Source organism: Homo sapiens, chromosome 15, assembly GCF_000001405.40.
Source record: "Homo sapiens chromosome 15, GRCh38.p14 Primary Assembly".
NCBI classification, from domain to species: domain Eukaryota; kingdom Metazoa; phylum Chordata; class Mammalia; order Primates; family Hominidae; genus Homo; species Homo sapiens.
The window spans coordinates 52,690,864-52,712,676 of NC_000015.10; the positions used below are offsets into that span (position 1 = coordinate 52,690,864).

The following is a 21,813-nucleotide window of genomic DNA, read 5'->3' on the forward strand; positions in this document are numbered from 1 at the left end:
AAACTAGATGAAGAAAAATGGAGAAGATAGAATCTGATGCTTGGTGAAATTGAAATGTCAAGGAATTGACATTGATGCATTCTGTGATGATCCTGCTGGTAACTCAATAGTCAGGCAAAGGATTTTAATGTTATATTTCTTAGACCAACTAAAATTAAGAATGAATGTCTTTCCCAGTAGAGATAAGATGGCCCAGGGGGAGTGGAGAGTTGAGGGAACCCTGTTAAGTGCTTTAGAGTTTCTAGGGATTTTTTTTTTTCCTAGTCAATCTCTGCTTATCCATCTAGGACTCTTTAGTTATTATTTTAGTGGAGCATTAAGAGACTAAAAATGCTCTTATATTTTATCATTCAAACTTTTACAGGCTTTCTTTCCAAGATACTCAAATCCCTAAACACCTGAACTTCTAATTGCTTTACAAGACTTAGTCTCATTGGTTGCTATAGTACTGCTGTGGAAATTCTCTTCTTGTCTTCAACTAAATAGGTTGCAGTTTAAATATCTGCAACTCTCTGGGAACACAAACAACATTAGAAATTAGAAAGATAATATAACTGTGGCTACAGCAGGTAACTTTTAATTATCAGGTTTATATGTAATTTTATACATTCAAATTTGAAAACTAGAATGAATAGATGGCCTTAAGGAAACTATAAACTATTAAACAGAACCAAGAATAGGTAGAGAACCCAAATAGATTGATCATCATCTAAGAAACTGAAAAGATTTGGGAGGCTGAGGTGGGAGAGTAGCTTGAGCCCAGGGTTTCAAGACCAGCCTGGACAACATAGTGAGACTCCATCTCTACAGAAAGTTCAAAAATTAGCCAGGCATGGTGGTGCATACCTGTAGTCCCAGCTACTCAGGAGGCTGAGGTGGGAGGATCACTTGAGCCCGGGGGGTCAAGGCTGCAGTGAGACTTAATCACACCACTGTATTCCAGCCTGGGAGACAGAGCAAGACCTGTGTCAAAAATAAATAAATAAATAAATAAGAAAAAGAAAAAGAAATTGAAAAACGAGTCAAAGATCCACTCCAAAAAGAGATACCAGGCCCAGAAGAGTTTGAGAAAGTTCTACTAAACCATCAAAGAACAGATCATGCCTTTTTTTTTCCTTAAATAAGCTGACCAGAGCAAAGGAAAAGGACACAAAGTTTCCCATTTCATTTTAGATCAACATAATCCTAATAAACCAAAATGAAAAGTAGTCCTCCATCCCCCCAAAAACATAAGAAATAAATCTCAGCTATAAACAGAGAAACAAAAATTCCAAATATTAGCGCAGAATCCAGAAGTGTGTTAAAGGAATATTACATCATGACCAAGACTTTATCCTAGGAATATAGGACTGCTTCAACATTATAAAATGTATTAACACAAATTGCCATACTATCTGAATAAAGAAAATAGAAAGCAAATGATTGTTTTATGCCAAAATCTACACTTGACAAAATTTAATATTCATTCCTAGTAAAATGTCTTTGAGAGCTAAGAAAAGAGGAAAACTTTTGACACAGGGTTTTGCTCCATCACCCAGGCTGGAGTGCAGTGGCGTGATCCCTGCTTACTGCAACCTCTGCTTCCCAGGCTCAGGCAACCCTCACACCTCAGCCTCCTGAGTAACTGAGATTTTAGGTATGCACAACTACACCCAGCTAATTGTATTTTTTGTAGAGACAGGGTTTCACCATATTGCCCAGGCTGATCTCAAACTCCTGAGCTCAAGCCATCGTCCTGCTTTGGCCTCCCAAAGTGCTGGGATTACAGGCATGAGCCACTGCACCCAGCCTGAAAACTACCTCTTTTTCTTCTTAGAGATGGGGTCTCACTCTGTTGACTAGGCTGGAGTGCAGTGGCTTAATCAGGCTCACTGCAGTCTGGAACCCCTGGACTCAAGCAATCCTCCTGTCTCTGCCTCCTGAGTAGGTGGGACTACAGGCGTCAGCTATAGCACAGGGCCTTTTTTTTTTGAGATGGAGTCTTACTCTGTTGACCAGGCTGGCCTCAAACTCCTGGCCTGAAGTGATCCTTATGCCTTGGCCTCCCAAAACCTTGGGATTACAAACATGAGCCACCACGCCTGGCACAAAACTCTCTTACAGAGCATTTACCAAACCTTATAGTAAGCATCACACCTAACAGTTGAAAGCTTCAAAGCAAGCATTCCTTGAAAGTCAAGAACAAGAATATCTTTTGCCACTTTAAGTTTTAGTCAATATGCTAAAACAGGAAAAGAGACATACAAACGGAAAGATTGAAACAAAACTATTTCGGGCCAGGTGCGGTGGCTCATGCCTGTAATCTCAGCATTTTGGGAGGCCAAGGCGGGTGGATCACTTGAGGTCAGGAGTTTGAGACCAGCCTGGCCAACATGGAGAAACCCTGTCTCTACTAAAAGTACAAAAATTAGCTAGGCATGGTGGTGCATACCTGTAATCTCAGCTACTTGGGAGGCTAAGGTAGGAGAACCAGTTGAACCCAGGAGGCAGAGGTTGCAGTGAGCCAAGATCACGCTCCTTCACTCCAGCCTGGGTGAGAGAGCGAGACTCCATCTCAAAAAAATGATTTCAGAGAATATAGTTAAGTTAGCAGAACTAATAGAATTTAGTACTGTGGTTGGATATATGATCAACATTTTAAAAATTAATAGCTTCTAGTATATCAACACTGGGTAGAAAATGTTAAGGGATAGAGGTCCATTCACAAAAACAAAACCATACTATCACTTAGAAATAAATCTAATTAAAAAAATTAAAGACCTGTGAAAAATGACATAAAAGAAGATCTAAATAAATTGGAAGACAGATATTGTCGGTCCTTCCTCAATCCATAAAGTCAATGCAATCTCAGTCAAGATTTCCAAAATATTTTCTAATGGAGTTTAACAAATTAATTCCAAAAGTTTATGTGGAATACTAGAATTACACTTGGCACAGTGAAATGCTTACTCTAAGAGAGACACATAAAAACTAATACCAACTTAATAGAAAAACCTCTTCTAGCCTTGCCTCTCATACTTATGTAGAAGACAATAGTTGAGTGGAATGGCAGATATGCGTGTCTGCACTACTTAAATTGTTCTCTCTCATACCTCACTCTCTCTTCTCTTTTGTTCAAGTTCTCTAAATTAATGGGTTAAGTGCACCATATGGTATGACTACTTTGCATTTTTATACATATCCTCCAAATATACAAAATAGAATTTTGTAACTTTTCATGTGAATCTTTTTATATGACCCACTTAATCCCTCAGCTGAGTATGTGTGTGTGTGCGTGTGTGTGTGTATATATAGATATATATATATTTTTTTTTTTTTTTGAGATGAAGTTTTGCTCTTGTTGCCCAGACTGGAGTGCAATGGCACGATCTCAGCTCACCGCAACCTCCTCCTCATGGGTTCAAATGATTCTCCTGCCTCAGCCTCCCAAGTAGCTGGGATTACAGGCATGCACTACCACATCTGGCTAATTCTGCATTTTTAGTAGAGACAGGGTTTCTCCATGTTGAACAGGCTGGTCTCGAACTCCTGACCTCAGGTGATCCGCTTTCCTTGGCCTCCAAAGTGCTGGGATTACAGGCATGAGCCACCGCACCCGGCCTGCTGAGTATATTTTAATATATGATTGCTCAGAATTAAAGCAAATAATTACCATTTCTACTTTGAGACTCAAGAATTCCTGAAAATTTGCTGGGTGTGGTGGCTCACAACTATAATCCCGCCACTTTGGGAGGCTGAGGTGAGAGAATTGCTTGAGCCCAGGAGTCCGAATATAGCAAGACCCCGCCTCTATTTTTTTAATTAAAAAAAAATACTCATGAAAATTTGACCTCACGCCCTATTATCAGATAAGCTAGAAAATACAAAATACACACAATGCCAAAATACAATGTTTGTGATATACATAGAATCCCACTGTTTTACAACAGCACTGCTGCCAGAGTACTAAAAAAATCTATTATACCTTTTAAAATTTAAATTTAAAATATGTTTTGTCTTACTGATTTCCAGGGACAATCACCATACTTTCCCCCATTATTCTTTTTTTTTTTTTCTGTTTTTTTTTGTTTTGTTTTTTTGAGACAGGGTCTTATCCTGTTGCCCAGGCTGGAGTGTAGTGGTGTGATCCCGGCTCACTGCAACCTCCACCTCCTGGGTTCAGGCAATTATCATGCCTCGGCCTCCCAAGAAGCTGGGATTACAGGCGTGCATCACCATGCCTGGCTAATTTTTGTGTTTTTAGTAGAGTTGGGGTTTCACAGCATTGGCCAGGCTGGTCTTGAACTCCTGGTCTCAAGCAATCTGCCTACCTTGGTCTCCTAAAGTGCTGGGATTACAGATGTGAGCCACCATGCCTGGCCCTGACTACTTTTTAAACATTAGTTTTGCCACCAAATTGCTCAGGCTAAAGTACTCTCTGAACAAGTCTGCGCTTTATCTGTCTCCCTTGTGCCAATCAGCTTCCAAATCTACATTTCTAGCATAAACCATCCTTTCCTGCCCTGCAGGCTACCCAGCTGTCTACATCTACAGGATGACTCACAGATCCTTCCAAATCAATATTAAATCAACAACATTCTCTTTCTTCCTTGAGAGCTTCTACTTCTCTCCCGCCTTTTCTTCCTTTGTGATTAAGATCCTCCCTATTCATTCTTACAATATCTATTGAGCATCTACTTTGCACCAGTCACTGTTGTCGACGTTTGGAACAGTGAACAAAAAGAATCTTGTCCTCGTGCACCTATGAGTGTGCAGGGACTCATATTTGCCATGTGGACTGACAGGGACAATAAATGAATAAATGGTATGAGATATAAGAGGTAGGAAAAAATTGAGCAGAATAAGTGGGATTTGGGGAGAGGCATTTCCAGATAAGGTTGTCAGGGTAGGCGTCATTGGAAGGAGGTTAAGGGAGAAAAGACTTGAAGAGGTTTGAGAACAAAGACATGAAGGAGTTAAGGGAGTTAGCATGTGGCTACCTAGAGGAAGACTGTTCCAGGCCAAGGGACAGTCAGCACAAAGGCTCAAGGCAGGAGCATTCCCTTATATGCTTGTGAAGAGCAGTTGCAGCTGCAACTCAATGAATGTGGGTCGGGAGACAGTAGAAAATGAGGCTGGAGAGGGGATAGAGGCCTAGATTACATGGGGTTTTAGGGACTATCATAAGGACTGGTCATTGCAGGGCTTTGAGCAGAGACATTACGTGGTCTTATTTATGTTTAAAACGTTCACTCTGACTGCTCTGTTGAAATTAGGTGATAGTGGGGCAAGGGGAGACACATGGAAACTAACTAATGGTAGGCTATTCCTGCAACCCAGGTAAGAGCTAGTGTGGCTTGGTCTGCCATCCTCTGTCTTACCGAAGCTAGAAACCTCAGTGAACTCCTCTAGCCATTCCTCTCTCCCACTTCCCCACCCATTCCCCTACACACCCTGCAATATACACACCTGGATTCTATTTCCAAATACCAGCCACTGCCCTCTACCCAACCACAACAGCCTCCATTCAGGCTTATCTGGATCATTGAAACAGCCTCCTAATTGGCCTCCCTGCCTTTCACTTACCCCTTCTTCCAGTCTATCCTATCAGCTGGGGTACCCTTCTCATTACAGAGGGTCCTAGCTTGGGATATACGCATAGAATTCACTGGGTCTGTGACCTAGTGAATTCTGGAAAAGTTTGCTTTGATTTTCATTTACATCTAACTGAAATTTAGCATTTCCTTTATGCTTATAAACATAAGCAACAAGCTGCAGTACCAGTGACTGTCACCAACAGAAATTAGATATTTTCATAGCATAATTAAAGTTGACACATGTCTCAAGGTATCATTTATATGCATTACCACTTTGAAATTATATTAGACCTACCACTAGATTTTTTTAAATGTGCTAATAATGGAGCAAATATCACAATTAAGAACTATTTTGTATTTCAACATTATTGGATTCCTTTTAATTCCTATGTATTTTAATTTATATAAAGATTAAATATATAATATTTAACCTAATATAAATTATATTCTGGGGGATTCATGGGCTTTATCAGATAGCCAAAGGGGTTCAAGGCCAGAAAAGATTAAAAACCCATGTTCTAATCATATTTAATCTATTCAGACCTGATCTTATTACTTCCATAATTTGAAAATCCTGAGGTGTCTGGCTAGCATACAGGATAAAAATCTGAAGTTCTAACAATGCTGACAAGGTTCTCCCATCTTCACTTGGCTAACTTTTTCTGCTTTATTACAAGTCATTCCTTCTTTCTCCTATCCTATGTTCTGACCACCACAGACCCCTGCTGCTCCTCGGCTTATGGCCCTTTCATTCCTCTGGGCATTTGTTTCTTATGTTCCCTTTTCCTGCAAAGCCTGCACAACCATGGAAACTCTTGCTTCATCTTCAAAGACTTCCCTTCTTCCAATACTGCCTTCTCAGGCCAAATGAGTTTCTCCCTCATCCTTGCTTCTGTAGCATGTTATACACTGCTTTTCACATCTTACAGCAGTCTTGGTTGCCCGCTTGCCTCTCTTTCTCCACAGTAACACCTCATGGAAGAACCTATCTTACATATCTTGGAATCCTTAGAAGATGTGAACAGATGCTTCATAAATGGCTAGTTGAAATGAACTAAATACTTTTAAAAATAATTTATCTGAAACATGACTCACTTCTTTAATGCGTAAGAATATGACAAAATTTACCTTAGAATTTTTTCCCCAGTTTTCTTATAACCTTTAGGTTAAGAACATAATGTTACATTTGCTCATAAATAAATGTTTGCAAACCAGACTAGAAGATACTTGCAATACATATATCTAACAAACAATTTGGAACTACCATTAAAAAAAAAAGATTTCTTCAAGTTATTAAGAAAAAGACAACCAGCCCAATAAAAAATTGGGCAAAGACTTGAACAGAAACTTGAAAAGATAGATATCCAAGTGGTCAAAATTATGAAATAAAGCTCACGGGGGCTTTATATGACTCGTCAGGGGAACACAAATTAAAAATCACAAGAAACCACTACTACCACCCCAGAAAGGCTCCAATTTAAAAGACTGACAATCCTAAGTATTTTCAGGGATGTAGAATTTTTTTTTTTTTTTTTTTTTTTTTTTTTTTTTTTGTGAGACAGAGTCTGGCTGTGTCACCCAGGCTGAAGTGCTGTGGCAAGGTCTCGGCTTACTGCAACCTCCACCTCCCGGATTCAAGTGATTCTCCTGCCTCAGCCTCCCGAGTAGCTGGGACTACAGGCGCGTGCCACCATGCCTGGCTAATTTTCTTTTCTATTTTTAGTAGAGATGGGGCTTCACTGTGTGAGCCAGGATGGTCTTGATCTCCTGACCTCATGATCTGCCCGCCTCGGCCTCCCAAAGTGCTGGGATTACAGGCATGAGCCACCACGCCTGTTCCAAGGATGTAGAATTCTTATTTGTGGCTGGGGGAACATGCACAATGATACAATTGTTTTGAAAAACCACTGAGTTTCTGCTAGAGATAACCTGCATCTGCTTTATGATCCAGCAATTCCATTCTTTATACTTAAAAGAAATTAGTGCTATGTTCTCTCATTTGTACATTATATTCATAGCAGCTTTGTTCATAATATCCAAAAGATGAAACAATCCAAATGCTCAAATAAATTGTAATAGATTTACATAATGGAATATTGCACATTAAAAAATAATCAGCTCCAACAAGTTGGAGAAATCACATAGAGATACTATGTTGACTGAAAGAAGTCAGACACAAACAAATTCTAGTATGTGACTCATTTATACAAAGTTTAAGAACAAGCACAACTAAAAGATGTTTATAGAAGTCAGAATAGTGATTAACCTTTCAAGGCACAGACTGAAAAGTACACAAGAGAATTGCATGCGGTACAGAAAATGTTGTATAATTTTATCTAGAGTGTGGTTATACAGATGTATACATAAGTAAAAATTCAAGCTACACACTGAAGATTACTGTACTGTCTTCATTTTAGTATTTGTATGTTGTTACTCACTAAACAAATAAATAAACTTGGCCAAATCTGCTGAAGTGGTGGTGATTTTGGAAACTCGAGCCATGGCAAAACTTTGGAAAATGGTTTTAATATAGTCCAGAATATACTGCCAGTTGACTCAGTGAAAAAAAGAAAGTTATTACTGGACGAATAAAATGGAGAATGAAAATAGAAGTACAGATACTGGAAATAAAAGCACTGCATAAATGCACAGTACTAGCATCAGCTTGCCCCAGCCTCGGACAAGTAAAAACCTAGGTTAAGCCACTAATGGCTCAGAAATCACCTAGCACCATGACAAGGTTAGCCTCCTAACCATCAGTACCTGTTTTGTTTACTGTCTACTTACTCTCTGCTTTCTTGTCTGTGCCTTCACAGTGGTGGCAGTTGGGACCGAAGAACATTTTATTCCTGTTTCAGTCAGGCAGGAGATGGAAAAATGTCCTTGAGGGAGAATATTTGGCTAGAAAGAAAGGGCTCCAAGTTCCAACATTCCCACATCCTTGTAAAGTATATATGGTCATCCTTGATGGGTCCTCCTCCTGGTCCAATCTCCAAATCCTTTTAATCCTATCTTGTGCACAAGATAGGATTAAAAGGATTTGGAGATTTTTAAGGCCTTTATTTTTGTTCTGGTACAGAGTAAGTCTTCTTGCCTCAGTAAGGCCTCTTCACCCTCCCGTTTCACTCTCCAACAGAGTAACTCATTAAAAAAAAACAGATCTTATCATGCCATTCCACTTGAGTGGTTCCTTTTGTCTCAGAGAATCTAAACTCTGTGGTGGTAAACAGGGCCTTTTATAATCTGTCCACAGTATTGCCCCCTCCAGCCTTATCTCCCCAGCGGGCATCCTGTGCAAGTACTCAGAATATGATATCAAGTGGGAGTGTGCCCAGGTTAACCTGCAGAGGATCACCATGCCTTACTGTAGCATTCGGATTTAGTGTTTGAGGAAATCTGAAGGATACTAGTGGCATCAGCAGCAATTCAGTCTTCTGCCTTCTTGCCTTTGTTTCTTAGAATTTTCAGCTCTAAAGTGAGATTTCCAAACCTGAAGATTAATCACTAGACATGGGGCATCCTAAAACACAGCTTGTTTTTCCTTAATGCTCAGAATATGTGTGGGTATGCCATGAACTACTTTATTTTCAATGTATAAATTTTTCGAATCTAAAGTTTAGATTGTTAACATGAAATTAACTGAAAAGATTGACCATCAGTGGAGGAAGAAGGTAGATGCTTATTCTCTTTTCTACTACATTTCTTTTCTTTACAGGAACAACTCTATGATCTTCTTGGTGAGACTTTACATACCAAATTAAAATTTGCTTGTCAATAAATTTAGATTATAAACCCCTCAAAAGAAATAGGGAGGCATGAATAATATGTATTATTGTCCACGTGTAAAGTTCCTAAACCCACTTATTGCCTACCCCTCTCTAGGTTTGTAAGACTGTAATATATAACCCACAGTGTAGGAGTTCAAAACTAGTATCTAAGTATTGGCTTCAGGGGGGTCTCTGCCCCCTCTCCTCCCCTGTGAAAAATGTTGTAAGCTTATGTATTTTGAGGGAAAGAGTCCATAGCTTTCAGGTTCTCAACAGGATCCAAGACCACTTCAAAACATAGCTTTCAGGTTCTCAACAGGATCCAAGACCACTTCAAAAAAAGCCTTATTGTGACGAGGCTTTTTATACCTAGAAGCAACTACCCTTCATATTTATCTAGAGAACACTTAAGGAAGTGCTATCTAGCAAACTTGAATGCTGCAGACCAAGATGTCTGTAATTCCTCAGCACAATTAAAGATAATTAAGCAGTATGTTATTATTGTTTTTAAGTTGTTGCTTTCCTTTATTGGAAAGCAAGCAAAATAAACTCCTTGTTTTTTACCTCTCTCGTGGAAGTAATTTCTGATTCAGTTTTTGAATATATTTACCTCAACATATATTTAACAAAAGAAGACTTTAACAAATGGAAAGATATCCCTTGTTCTTGGTTAGAATACCTAGTCATCAAAATGTCAGTTCCCCCTAAGTTAACTTATAAATTTAACATGATCTCAATAAAAATACTAACAAGCTGTTTTTTCTGGAGCTAGACAGGTTGATAAAGTTAATGTAGAGAAACAAACATACAAGAATAGCTGGAAAATGTGAAAAGGAAGATTAGTTGAGGGGAAGGGGAGAGAGACTATTCCTATCACATAATTAAAATATACAACAAAGCCTCTATACTTAAAACAAGGTTGTACTAAAACATGAAGTAGACCAACAAATGAAATAGAATAGAAAAAGAACATATAGAAATATGGCATATGGCCAGGCCTGGTGGCTCATGCCTTGTAATCCAAGCACTTCAGGAGGCCAAGGTGGGAGGATAGCTTGAGCCCTGTCTCTACAAAGTATAACATTAACCAGGCATGGTGGTCTGAGCCTGTAATCCCAGCTACTTGGGAAGCTGAGGCTGGAGAATCACTTGAGCCCAGGAGTTTGAGGTTGCAATGAGCCATAATGGTGCCACTGCACTCCAGCATGGGCAACAGAATGAGACCCTGTCTCCAGTATATATATATGTAAATCATAGAGGTGATTTCTTCAATCACTAGTACAAAAATAAACTTTTGAGATTTCAGTACAACTGGTTAGCCATTTAGAAAGGATAAATTAGATCCTTTCTTCACAACACACACAGTAAACTTCAAATGATCAGAAATCTAAATGTGAAAAGCAAAATTATACTAATAGAAGAAAACAGGCAAATTTCTCCATAATGTGGGCATAAGGATTCCTAACTACGATTCAAAATTCAGATACTATTAAGAACAATACATTTGCCATCATAAGAATCTAAAATTGTGCATTAAAACACTTTAAGTAAAATTAACATACAAATGAGAAATTGGGGGAAAATATCTGTAACATTTTAAGATAAAGATATAATGTTCCTAATACAGAAAGAGCTTTGAAAATAGAGAAGACCAGGGCCAAGGTGGGAGGATCACTTGAGGCCAGGAGTTTAAGAGTAGTCTGGGCAACATAGCAAGACCCCATCTCAACTAAAAAAATAAATTTTAAAAAAGAGAAGACAAAAAATCTTACAGAAAAATGGGCAAATAACAAACACATGAAAAAATGCTCCACATCACTAATCAGAGAAATGCAAGTCAAAATCACAAGATTTTGTATGGGATACCATTTCATACCAGTCCGAATGGCTATAAAAAAGTCAAAAAACAACAGATGCTGGCAAGGCTGCAGAGAAAAAGGAACACTTACACACTGTTGGTGGGAATGCAAATTAGTTCAGCCACTGTGGAAAGCACTTTGGAGATTTATCAAAGAACTTAGAACTACCATTCAACCCAGAAATCCCCTTATCAGGTATATATCCAGATGAAAAATCTTCCTACCAAAAAGACACATGCACTCACATGTTCATCATGGCACTATTCACAATAGCAAAGATACAGACTTAACCTAGGTGCCCAACAAGTGAGCTGGATAAAGAAAATGTGGTACATATACACCATGGAATACCACACAACCATAAAAAGAAAACAAAATCACGTCCTTTGCAGCAACATGGATGCAGCTGGAGGCCATTATCCTAAGTAAATAATTGCAGGAACAGAAAACCAAATACAACATGTTCTCACTTATAAGTGGGAGCCAAAGATTGGGTACTCATGGACATAGAGATGACAGCAGTAGAAACTGGGAACTACTGGGGGCAGGGAGGGAGGAGGACAAGAGTTGAAAAAGTAACTATTTGGATACTATGCTCAGTACCTGGATGACAGGATCAACTGTACCCCACACCTCAGTATCATGCAGTATACCCAGGTAACAAACCTGTACATGTATCCCCTGAGTCTAAAAGTTGAAAAAAAAAGTGTTTCCAAAAAAAAAAAAAAAAAAGGAAAATGGGCAAAATACGTGAATGGATAATCACAAAAGATATAAAAATGACACTGAATGAGCATTTAAAATGCTCAGTTTCACCCATAATAAGCCATTCTGTCAGATACTTACCCAAGGGAAACAAAAACACATGTCCACACAACGACTTGTACACAAATTTTCATAGTAACTTTATTTGCAATAGTCTCAAACTAGAAACAGCCTAAATGTCAATTATCAGGTAAACAGATAAACAAAATGTAGTATATCCACACAATAGAATACTATTCAGCGATAAAAACAAACAGGGTCTGATACACATAACAATGTGGGTGAATCTCAGAATCACTATGCTGAAAGAAACCAGATAAAAGAGTACACATGGTTCGATTTTTATATGCAAATTTAGAAACTGCAAACTAATCCAAAATAACAAAAAGCAAATCAGTGTTTCCTTGGGCACAGGGGTAGAGGGAGGAATTTATTTAAAAGAGACACAGGAAAATTTTAGGGGTGATAGAAATGTTTTATACTGATTAAATTTTATATAGTTTATAGGATTTCAACTATACTTCAATAAAGCTCACAAAAATGGTCTTTAAAAGATCAATTTCATTCATAATAAGCAAATTACAAATTAAATTACCCTAAGATACTATTTCTTGCCCATCAGTTTGACAAAATGGTGCATTCTGTTAGCAAGGCTGTGGAGAAACCCAACCCATATGAAGGGAATTTGCTATACCTAACAAAACTACCTGATGGTTGCTTAACCATCAACCAGCAATTTTACTCCTAGAAATCTAGTAAAGATATACCTCCAAACATCTGAAAATACATATGCACAAGGTTATTCATTGCAGTATAGGAGATTAGTTTAATAAAATGTGGTACACACACCGGGGCCTGTTAGGGGGTGGGGGGCTAGGGGAGGGATAGCATTAGGAGAAATACCTAATGTAAATGACGAGTTGATGGGTGCAGCAAACCAACATGGCACATGTATAACTATGTAACAAACCTTCACGTTGTGTACATGTACCCTAGAACTTAAAGTATAATTTTTTAAAACAAGAAAGAAAAAAATTAAATGTGGCACATACACACAATAGAGTACTATATCGCTGTGTAAAAATTGGGGGCGGGAATGTCTCTGAACTAGTTTGGTGTGACTTCCAGGATATACTATTAAGAGAAAAAAGGCAAAAAGCAAAAGAATATCTATAGTATATACTACCTTTTTATAGGAAATAAGGAAGAAAGAAAACATACATAGATTCATTACTTTGCACAAAAAGAAAAATAGGAAGGACATATCAGAAAATAAAGAAATTGGTTACCTTTAACCAAAACAGCATGGTACTGGTACCAAAACAGAGATATAGACCAATGGAACAGAACAGAGGCTCTGAAATAATACCACACATCTACAACTATCTGATCTTTGACAAACCTGAGAAAAACAAGCATTGGGGAGAGGATTCCTTATTTAATAAATGGCACTGGGAAAACTAGCTAGCCATATGTAGAAAGCTGAAACTGGATCACTTCCTTACACCTTATACAAAAATTAACTCAAGATGGATTAAAGACTTAAATGTAAGACCTAAAACCATAAAAACCCTAGAAGAAAACCTAGGCAATACCATTCAGGACATAGGCATGGGCAAAGGCTTAACGACTAAAACACCAAAAGCAATGGCAACAAAACCCAAAATAGACAAATGGGATCTAATTAAACTAACGAGCTTCTGCACAGCAAAAGAAACTATCATCAGAGTAAGCAGACAACCTACAGAATGAGAGAAAATTTTGGCAATCTATCCATCTGACAAAGGGCTAATATCCAGAATCTACAAAGAACTTAAACAAATTTACAAGAAAAAAACAAAAAACCCCATCAAAAAGTGGGCAAAAGATATGAACAGACAGTTCTCAAAAGAAGACATTTATGCAGCCAACAGACATATGAAAAAATGGTCATCACTGGTCCTCAGAGAAATGCAAATCAAAACCACAGTGAGATGCCATCTCACGCCAGTTAGAATGGCGATCATTAAAAAGTCAGGAAACAACAGACCCTGGAGAGGATGTGGAGAAATAGGAACACTTTTACACTGTTGGTGGGAGTGTAAATTAATTCAACCATTGTGGAAGACAGTGTGGCAATTCCTCAAGGATCTAGAACTAGAAATACCATTTGACCCAGCAATCCCATTACTGGGTATATACCCAAAGGATTGTAAGTCATGCTACTTTAAAGACACATGCACACATATGTTTATTGCGGCACTATTCACAATAGCAAAGACTTGGAACCAACCCAAATGTCCATCAATAATAGACTGGATAAAGAAAATATGGCACATATACACCATGGAATACTATGCAGCCATAAAAAAGGATGAGTTCATGTCCTTTTGCAGGGACATGGATGAAGCTGGAAACCATCATTCTCAGCAAACTATCACGAGGACAGAAAACCAAACACCGCATGTTCTCACTCATAAGTGGGAGTTGAACAATGAGAACACATGGACACAGGCAGGGGAACATCACACACTGGGGCCTGTTGGGGAGTGGGGGGCTGGGGGAGGGATAGCTTTAGGAGAAATACCTAATGTAAATGACGAGTTGATGGGTGCAGCAAACCAACATGGCACATGTATACCTATGTAACAAACCTGCACGTTGTGCACATGTACCCTAGAACTTAAAGCATAATAATATAAAAAGAAATTTCCCAGAAAGAAGAGAAAAAAAAAACTTTGTGGTTGAAAGTACATATTGCAGCATTACATCAATTTAATTTGTAAATGAGGTATAACAGGTACACTGCAAAAGATAAATAAGCATACAGTTCAGTGAATTCTTAAGTATATACACAAGTAATCACCACTCAGATCAATACATAGATTCCCAGCACCAGAACAGGGCTCTCTTATCTTTAATGTCAATAGCACCAACACCCCCAGCCCCACCATCTCACTCCCAAGTAATCACTATTCTCATTTCCATCACCATAGATTAGTTTTGTCTGTTTCTGAATTTTGTATAAGTTGAGTAAAATATAATTGTTATATGATTCTTTTTACTCTATATTATTTATGATTTATAAGATCAGTTATGTACAGTAGAAGTTTTTGTTTCTGTGTGGTATTCCATTGTATTAATATACCATAATTTATTTACCTACTCTCTGATGTACATTTGGGTCATTTCCAGTTTTTCAATATTACATATTAAACTGCTGTGAAACAAACAAACAAAAAAGAAATTGGTTACTTTCAAGGCATGCAAAAGGAATGGGTTAGGGGAGATAGGTCAGGGAATTACACTTCTGTGAGTATACATACCTTATTAGTTTTCACTTTTGGAAGGATATTAATGTTCTACATATTAAAAAATAAAACTAAGGCAAGATGGAGTGAGAACTATAACAATACAAACAAATGAACCAGTGAACGCAATGTTCTCTCAAATGAGTAATAAAACCACAATGAAGGGGGAGAAAGAACTAATCCAACCAATTTGTGAACACAGGATCTTGACTAGCCTCAGTCTATGGAGAAAAGAACTACAAACAAATCTTTTACTCTGGTTAGTAGATGAGCTTTCCATAGTGGCATGGCTTTAGCAATTCAGAAATTATTTAATATGTATTGCAGGACTGGGCAAATGAATGCAATGATGTTGTTGGGAACTAAGGTTTTCACTAGAAAGGAGGGAGACAAAAATGTTCATCAGACAGGCTGTCTTATAAGAACAAACAACAAAAAGAAAATGTTCCAAAAAAGTGATAGGGACATGTCAAAAGGAAACAAAAACCAGCTTGAAAGACCCAAATCCGGGAAAGTTGAGCATCCAAATAAATAAGGACAATAATGATTATAACTCACTGACTAAAAATAGGAATTCATAAGTCTATACAGAGAATAATTTAGCAATAAAAGGGAGCGATGTATTGATGCATGCCACAAAATGGATGAAATCGAAAACATCATGCCAAGTACAAGAAGCCAGATCACACATTGTTTGATTCCACTGATATAAGATATTCAGAATACGCAAATCTGTAGAGAGAGAAAGTAGACTAGTGTTTCCCTAGGGCTGGGGGAAATGGGGGATGACTGCTAGCAGGTATGGGGTTTCTTTCTGGGGTGCTGAAATGTCCTAAAATTGATTGTGGTGATGGCTATACAACTCTGACTATACTAAAAACCACTGAGTTGCACATTTTGAAAGGGGGAGTTGTATGGTGTGTGAAATATATTAATAAAACTGTAAACAAATGGCGGTAAAGACTTCCTTATAACAGAATGTCATTTGATCAATGTAGAGGCAGCGGTGATATAATTGGAAAGTTACCATTTTACAACCATCATGGTAAACATTGGTTTGAACCAAGAATGGATGCTAAATCTAGGGGGAAATGTTTGATGCGGAGCAGGGTATTTACACGGTCTCATTGTCTTTCCGCAAATTGTTTATTGATTGCAAAGGAACAAGTAGTAAATACACAGTGGAAAAAATAGGCAGCAAATAGATAATTAAAATTAACACCACTCAATAGAGACAGATATCACACGTCTCCAGAAATGATATTCTGAGAAGGGCACAAAATCACCTATGAAAAAATCCAGCTGGGGATGCACAGCAGATAAACCCGTCAAGAACATAAAATGATCGGCCTACATTCTTCAAAAATGTCATTGCCATAAAAGACAAAGACAGACTGAGGAATTATTCCAGATTAAAGGAAGTGAAAGAGGCATGATTCAATCCTATGTTGGTGGGAGAAAAGTATTACTGTTCGGACAAGTGAAATTGAAATATAGACAGTAGGTTAGATAAAAATAATAGATCAATATTAAATTTCTGAAATTTACTATTTTGTGGTTACATGAAAGAATATCCTTGGTCTTAGAAAATATACACTGAAGGAACATGATATTTGCCACATACTCCCGAATGATTCAGAAAAAAAGTCAAATCGTGGAAAAGGGGAGAGAAGGAAGAAGAGAGAGGGAGAGAGTATGATAAAGCAAAAGTTTAATAAAAGTATGTTTGTAAGAATGAGAAATGCTCAAAGATACAAAATGGTATTGTTAAATTCATTTGCCTTTCCTACGTGAGCCCCTGAATGCCATTTTGCTTTGGATAGCCAGGAAAATCCCAGTCTCAAATCCACACCATTCCTGTCATAGAAACCTTATTACCAGAGGCTGAAACCTCAGGAGGCTTGGAGATGGTTTTCCGGGACTTCAGGAAAGGAGAGTAAAGTTACCCGGGGAAAACTGCACTGAATATTAAATTAGAACTGTAGTAAATAGGACAAAATGAAAAATGAACAAAATGAAGGGAAGGAGGTTGGGCAAGGCTGGGTTCAACCACACTTTCAGCATCTTGGGAGACTGATTCCACAACCAGACAGCTTACTCCTTCCAGAGCCACTCTCCTCTCTCACAGCAGAAAACGGAGGCAGAAGAGGAGAGGGACTTTCCTTCAGGTTCCAAAAGCACTTTTGGATCTAGCCCCAGTGTCAAGGCTGCTTCTGGATTCCCACTCCCAACCCTAGGATTCCTAGGGCACCTAAATGCTTGATGGGATCATCGTGATTAAACTGCAGGACACAAACTCTCCTGCTTGTGTGATTTATGAAGATGCATTTGCTTATCAGACTGACTTTATAATGGAGTTCAAGGTGTGGGGGGTGGTTTTTGAATCAAGGTATGATTACTGAATTAAGGCACTCTCTATTGCCTTGTTTTTCAATCTGAAAAGTGAGAATAGCTGCATTTGTAAAATCTACCTTGCAAAACTGTTGGGACTGAAGAAATAGTTTCTGCTAAACCACACTGGGAAAATAAATAACCCAGCATCCCTTTAAAATTGGGTACTTTTTTTTTTTCTGTTCCAGTTGGTCAAAAACAAATTCTCCTCAGAGCTTCTTACCAAAACGCTTAAGTCACTCATAATATTATCCAGTTGTTTACAGATAGCTAATTGTTTTACTAACATATTGTGGAGGCTACCTCCCTTCCTCCCTGGTAGGATAAGGTTTATTGCTAGTTGCTTTACTAGCACACTGTGGGAATCATCTCTCTTCCTCACTGGTAGGATGAAGTTTCTGACTTAACCGGAAATCACAAACCCAAATGCCTCCAGAGCCCAGTCAGGTAACACAATTCAGAGAAGCTGGCTGATGTAGAGGTGAATGATGAAGGGGTGGTAAGGACTGGACCCATGGAGAGTATGGGAGAGTACTCCCTGTCTGCAAGTCTTCGTGTTAAAAAACAGAAAAAAGAAAGAAAACAAAAAAGAAAGATGAACCTAGGCAGACCAAACAAAGCACATCCAGGCAAGTGGGTCAGTTTTGCCCCCTCTTTATTAGAAGATGGGTACATTCCTTTTCACCTCCCAAAACCCACGATTGATCATTTTGAAGTTTTACATTTGTCGTGGAAACTGGCCCAGAGCCTCTTTCCTAATGTTTATTAACCTGCATGTCACCTATCATTGCAAAATCATTGGCTTTTGCTGTCACCTATCATTGCAAAATCATTGGCTTTAATGTAGTAGAGTGCTTACTGCTGAATGAGAAGTTTACATAAATGTTTCTCATATCTGCTGAACTTTACCCCAAAGCTCTAATTCTACCATCTCTCTTAAAGGACCACACTACTGGTTTAAAAACTACAAGGTGCAGAGTATTTTTCACACTGACCTTTTAACGTAAAATGCATACAAGTCCCTTTCACTTGTATGTTCCCAAGACTGCACGCAGCTTCCACTTCATGCCCCTTGAATACTCCAGATCGCTCTCCCACCCCCTGCACTTGCTAGCCCCTTTGCCCTCCTCACTCGTCACCACACATCACTTCCCATCTCTTATCTCCTTAGTGCCATCACCCCTTCCCACTCCCCCTTTTCTCTGGACACATACCTATTGGGTTGTGTCCGCACCAGCCAGGAGCATTCCCTGACACAGAAGAGGGAGATGATCTGAAAGTCTACAGGCAGCGGCAGCAGCAGTAGACTCTGTTCGCTGTGCCTACTGTAAATAGAGCAAGGTAGAGGGCGGAGTCTGGGGGAGGGAGGAGCCCTGAGGCAAGCTAATTAGAGAGACTTGCCCATCAGGGAGCCCAGGCTTGTTGAAGGAGGCAGGCCTTAGACTGTTGGAGCCTGGCTAACTCAAAGTCATCTTGCTGTTAAGGCCTAGTTCCCAATACTGCAGGCTGATTCCTCTCAGTATGCTTTTTTATGGTTATAATTATGTTGAACCTAATACCCTGACATTTGTGTTGATGAGTTGATCTCTGACCTGCAAGAACTCAGAACCACAAATGTCTAGAGCAAGTGAGATGCTGACCAGTCCCTGCTGGGCTGTATTGCTGGCAGCTGATCCCAAAGGAAGGCAGAGGAAGGTCAGGTGTCCCAAAGTTTTAAGGCCTGGTGGGTGGGTGTGAGAGTTAGCACCTGGAAGAAGGCAGCTGTAAGCAGTCAAGTTTCTGTTCCTGTTGTTTGTGTATTTATGTGATTTTAGGTCCCTGAAACATAGGCTGGGGCCTACCAGCTCCTTGGACTCTTACTACAGTCTGCTGCTGTGCACCTCCTGGAATCCAGTCTCTTTCCTCGCTACAAGGCCCTCCCTGCTCTGTCTCTGCCAACCTCTCAGCTTCCTCCCCTACCATGTGACCCTCTTTCATTATGCTCCTGGCACACTGTCTTCTTGATGTGTCATATAGCTTAAATAAGCCAAATGAGATCTGCCTCAGGGCCTTTGCACTGGCTATTCCTGCTACTGGAACATTTGTCTCACTTCCCTCCCTGCTTCTTTACTTAAATATCTGGCTCCTTCTCATTCAGCTCACAGGGTCACAGTCCTTCTAAGGTTTCCCCTGACTCTCCCCTCTATCACAGTACACAGTTTGGTTTTCTTCATAGCTATTAACACTACCTGAAATTATTGAGTGTTTTTATTTACTTGGTCTCCATTACCCTCTCTCCACTAAATTGTAAGTGCCATGAGTTGGGTCTGTATTGCTCATGACATTATCCACACTTCTAGAATCAGTACCTGAAACATAGTAGGTGTTTCCTGTGTGTGTAGTGACTAAATGAATGGACACCATTCATTCACTGACTAAATGTTATTGCATACTTGGTGTGTGCCAGGCACTGACTGAGTCCTGGAGATACAACAAGACAAGCAAGAGCTCCCCCAAGGAGGCTTCTCATCTAAAGGGAAGAGGACCATTACATTAATAATCAATTGAAATTATGTTTTAAAAGAAATAAACAAAGAAGAAACCACATGTTTGTTCACAGATTGAAATGAATGCATATACCAGAAGTGTTAGTAGGGGGTGAGCACCCAGTCATAGAGCCTAGAATTCTTAGGAATCTGAGCCACGCCTATGAATTGATGAAGGGATTTTATTCCTGGAAACATGATGGGATCCCATGAAGCAAAGTCCCCATTCATAGCTCTCAGACTCACTTTCTGCAGAGGGGTATAATCAAGACTGCCCTGTAGCACCAGCATATTTATCAGGCCCATTGTGTTTCACTGGAGAATAACCTTTGAATCCTCTTTTCAACGTTCAAAGAATACAAATTCTAGGGATGTCCTAGGGCTCTCAGAGTTTTTTGGAGCTTGTAAAAGAGATCTGCCATGAGGCTAGGCATGTAATAGGCCAATGGGGCTTCTTTTAATGATTCAGAGGAGAATTGAGACCAGGTCATTTCCCTCTGGGAGAATTCACTTCAATAATCTTGTTGGAATCCTCCAGTTTCCTCCAGGACCCCAAATCTCTACTTGACTCATTTTTATTACCTGCCTGGCCCCTGAAGGCATTTGATTTTGTGGACCTTGCTTTTAGACATTGTTTTTGACATCCTGAGAGTTTTAGGATTCTGAAATACCTGGAAATTTTTCGCTAAAATAATGAAGTATTATTCAGGTCCTGTATCTCCTGGAAAAATTCAGATGTTAAAATGCTGGTAACTAGGGTACCAACCCAGAAAACTTTAATACACAGAGGTCTAAGATTCTAGTATTATCACTCTCAAATCCTAAAGATTCATAAAATAAAACTTTTGGGGAACATTCTTTTGAATTTCCTCAACAGGAGCAATTTTTTTTTTTTTTAAAGACAGGTCTCACTCTGTCACCTAGGCTAGAGTACAGTGGTGCGAACTCAGCTCACTGCAACCAAAAGGGCAAATTTTACCCTTTGCTGGTTGTTTAGTTATTATTGCTGCCTAACAAACCACTCCAAAACTTAAGGGCATAAAATAATCATTTTACTCTGTTCAAAGGTTCTGTGGGTTAGGAATTCTGACAGGTTAGAGAGGGTACAGCTTGAGTCTGCTCTGTGATGTCTGGGTCCTCAACTGGGAAGAAGGCAGGGGTGACTCAGTGGCTGAAGGTTAGAATCAGATGGAGACATCCTCACTCAGATGTCTGGTAGTTTATGTGGACTACTGGCCTAGGCACACCTTCACATGGTGTCTCAGTGTGGGAGATGCACAGGCTAGTTTGGGCTTCCTTATAGCATGATATCTGGGTTCCAAGAGCAAGTATTTCAAGACAGCAAGGCAGAAGTGCGTGGCATTTTTATGATCTGGCTCAAGTTCTCATGGTAAGAAGAGAATGTGGGATGGAATTATTTAAGGCACTTGGAAAATACAATTTGCCACAGTAATAGATTTGACTTTCAAAAATAGCTAAAAGTCATTAGGAGTTAAGCTTGATGAATAATGTGAGTGAAGCTGTTTTGATTAAAAATTGAGGAGTATGACCATTAAATAATAAGAGCATTTTCTTCTGTGGATCACATTCAGTCCAGAATGTATTTTTGAAAGAGCACTTCTAGAACTTTTCAAACAACC

The 21,813-nt window shown here is 39.1% G+C and overlaps 1 protein-coding gene across 6 annotated transcripts in view; it reads right to left on the reverse strand.

Moving 5' to 3' along the window:
- The window catches only part of ATOSA (atos homolog A), a 128,495-nt gene extending 109,543 nt beyond the window's left edge, over positions 1-18,952 (reverse strand). For 4 of the 6 annotated variants that reach the window (NM_001385021.1, XM_047432861.1, NM_001385013.1 and 1 more), the window contains exon 1: positions 18,863-18,952. The gene's annotated coding sequence lies outside the window, so the exon portion shown is untranslated. Of the gene's footprint in view, positions 1-846; positions 964-18,862 lie in introns of all 6 variants that reach the window. The other 2 variants (NR_169533.1, NM_001385014.1) reach the window with 1 other exon arrangement.
- Between the last annotated feature and the right edge of the window lie 2,861 nt (positions 18,953-21,813).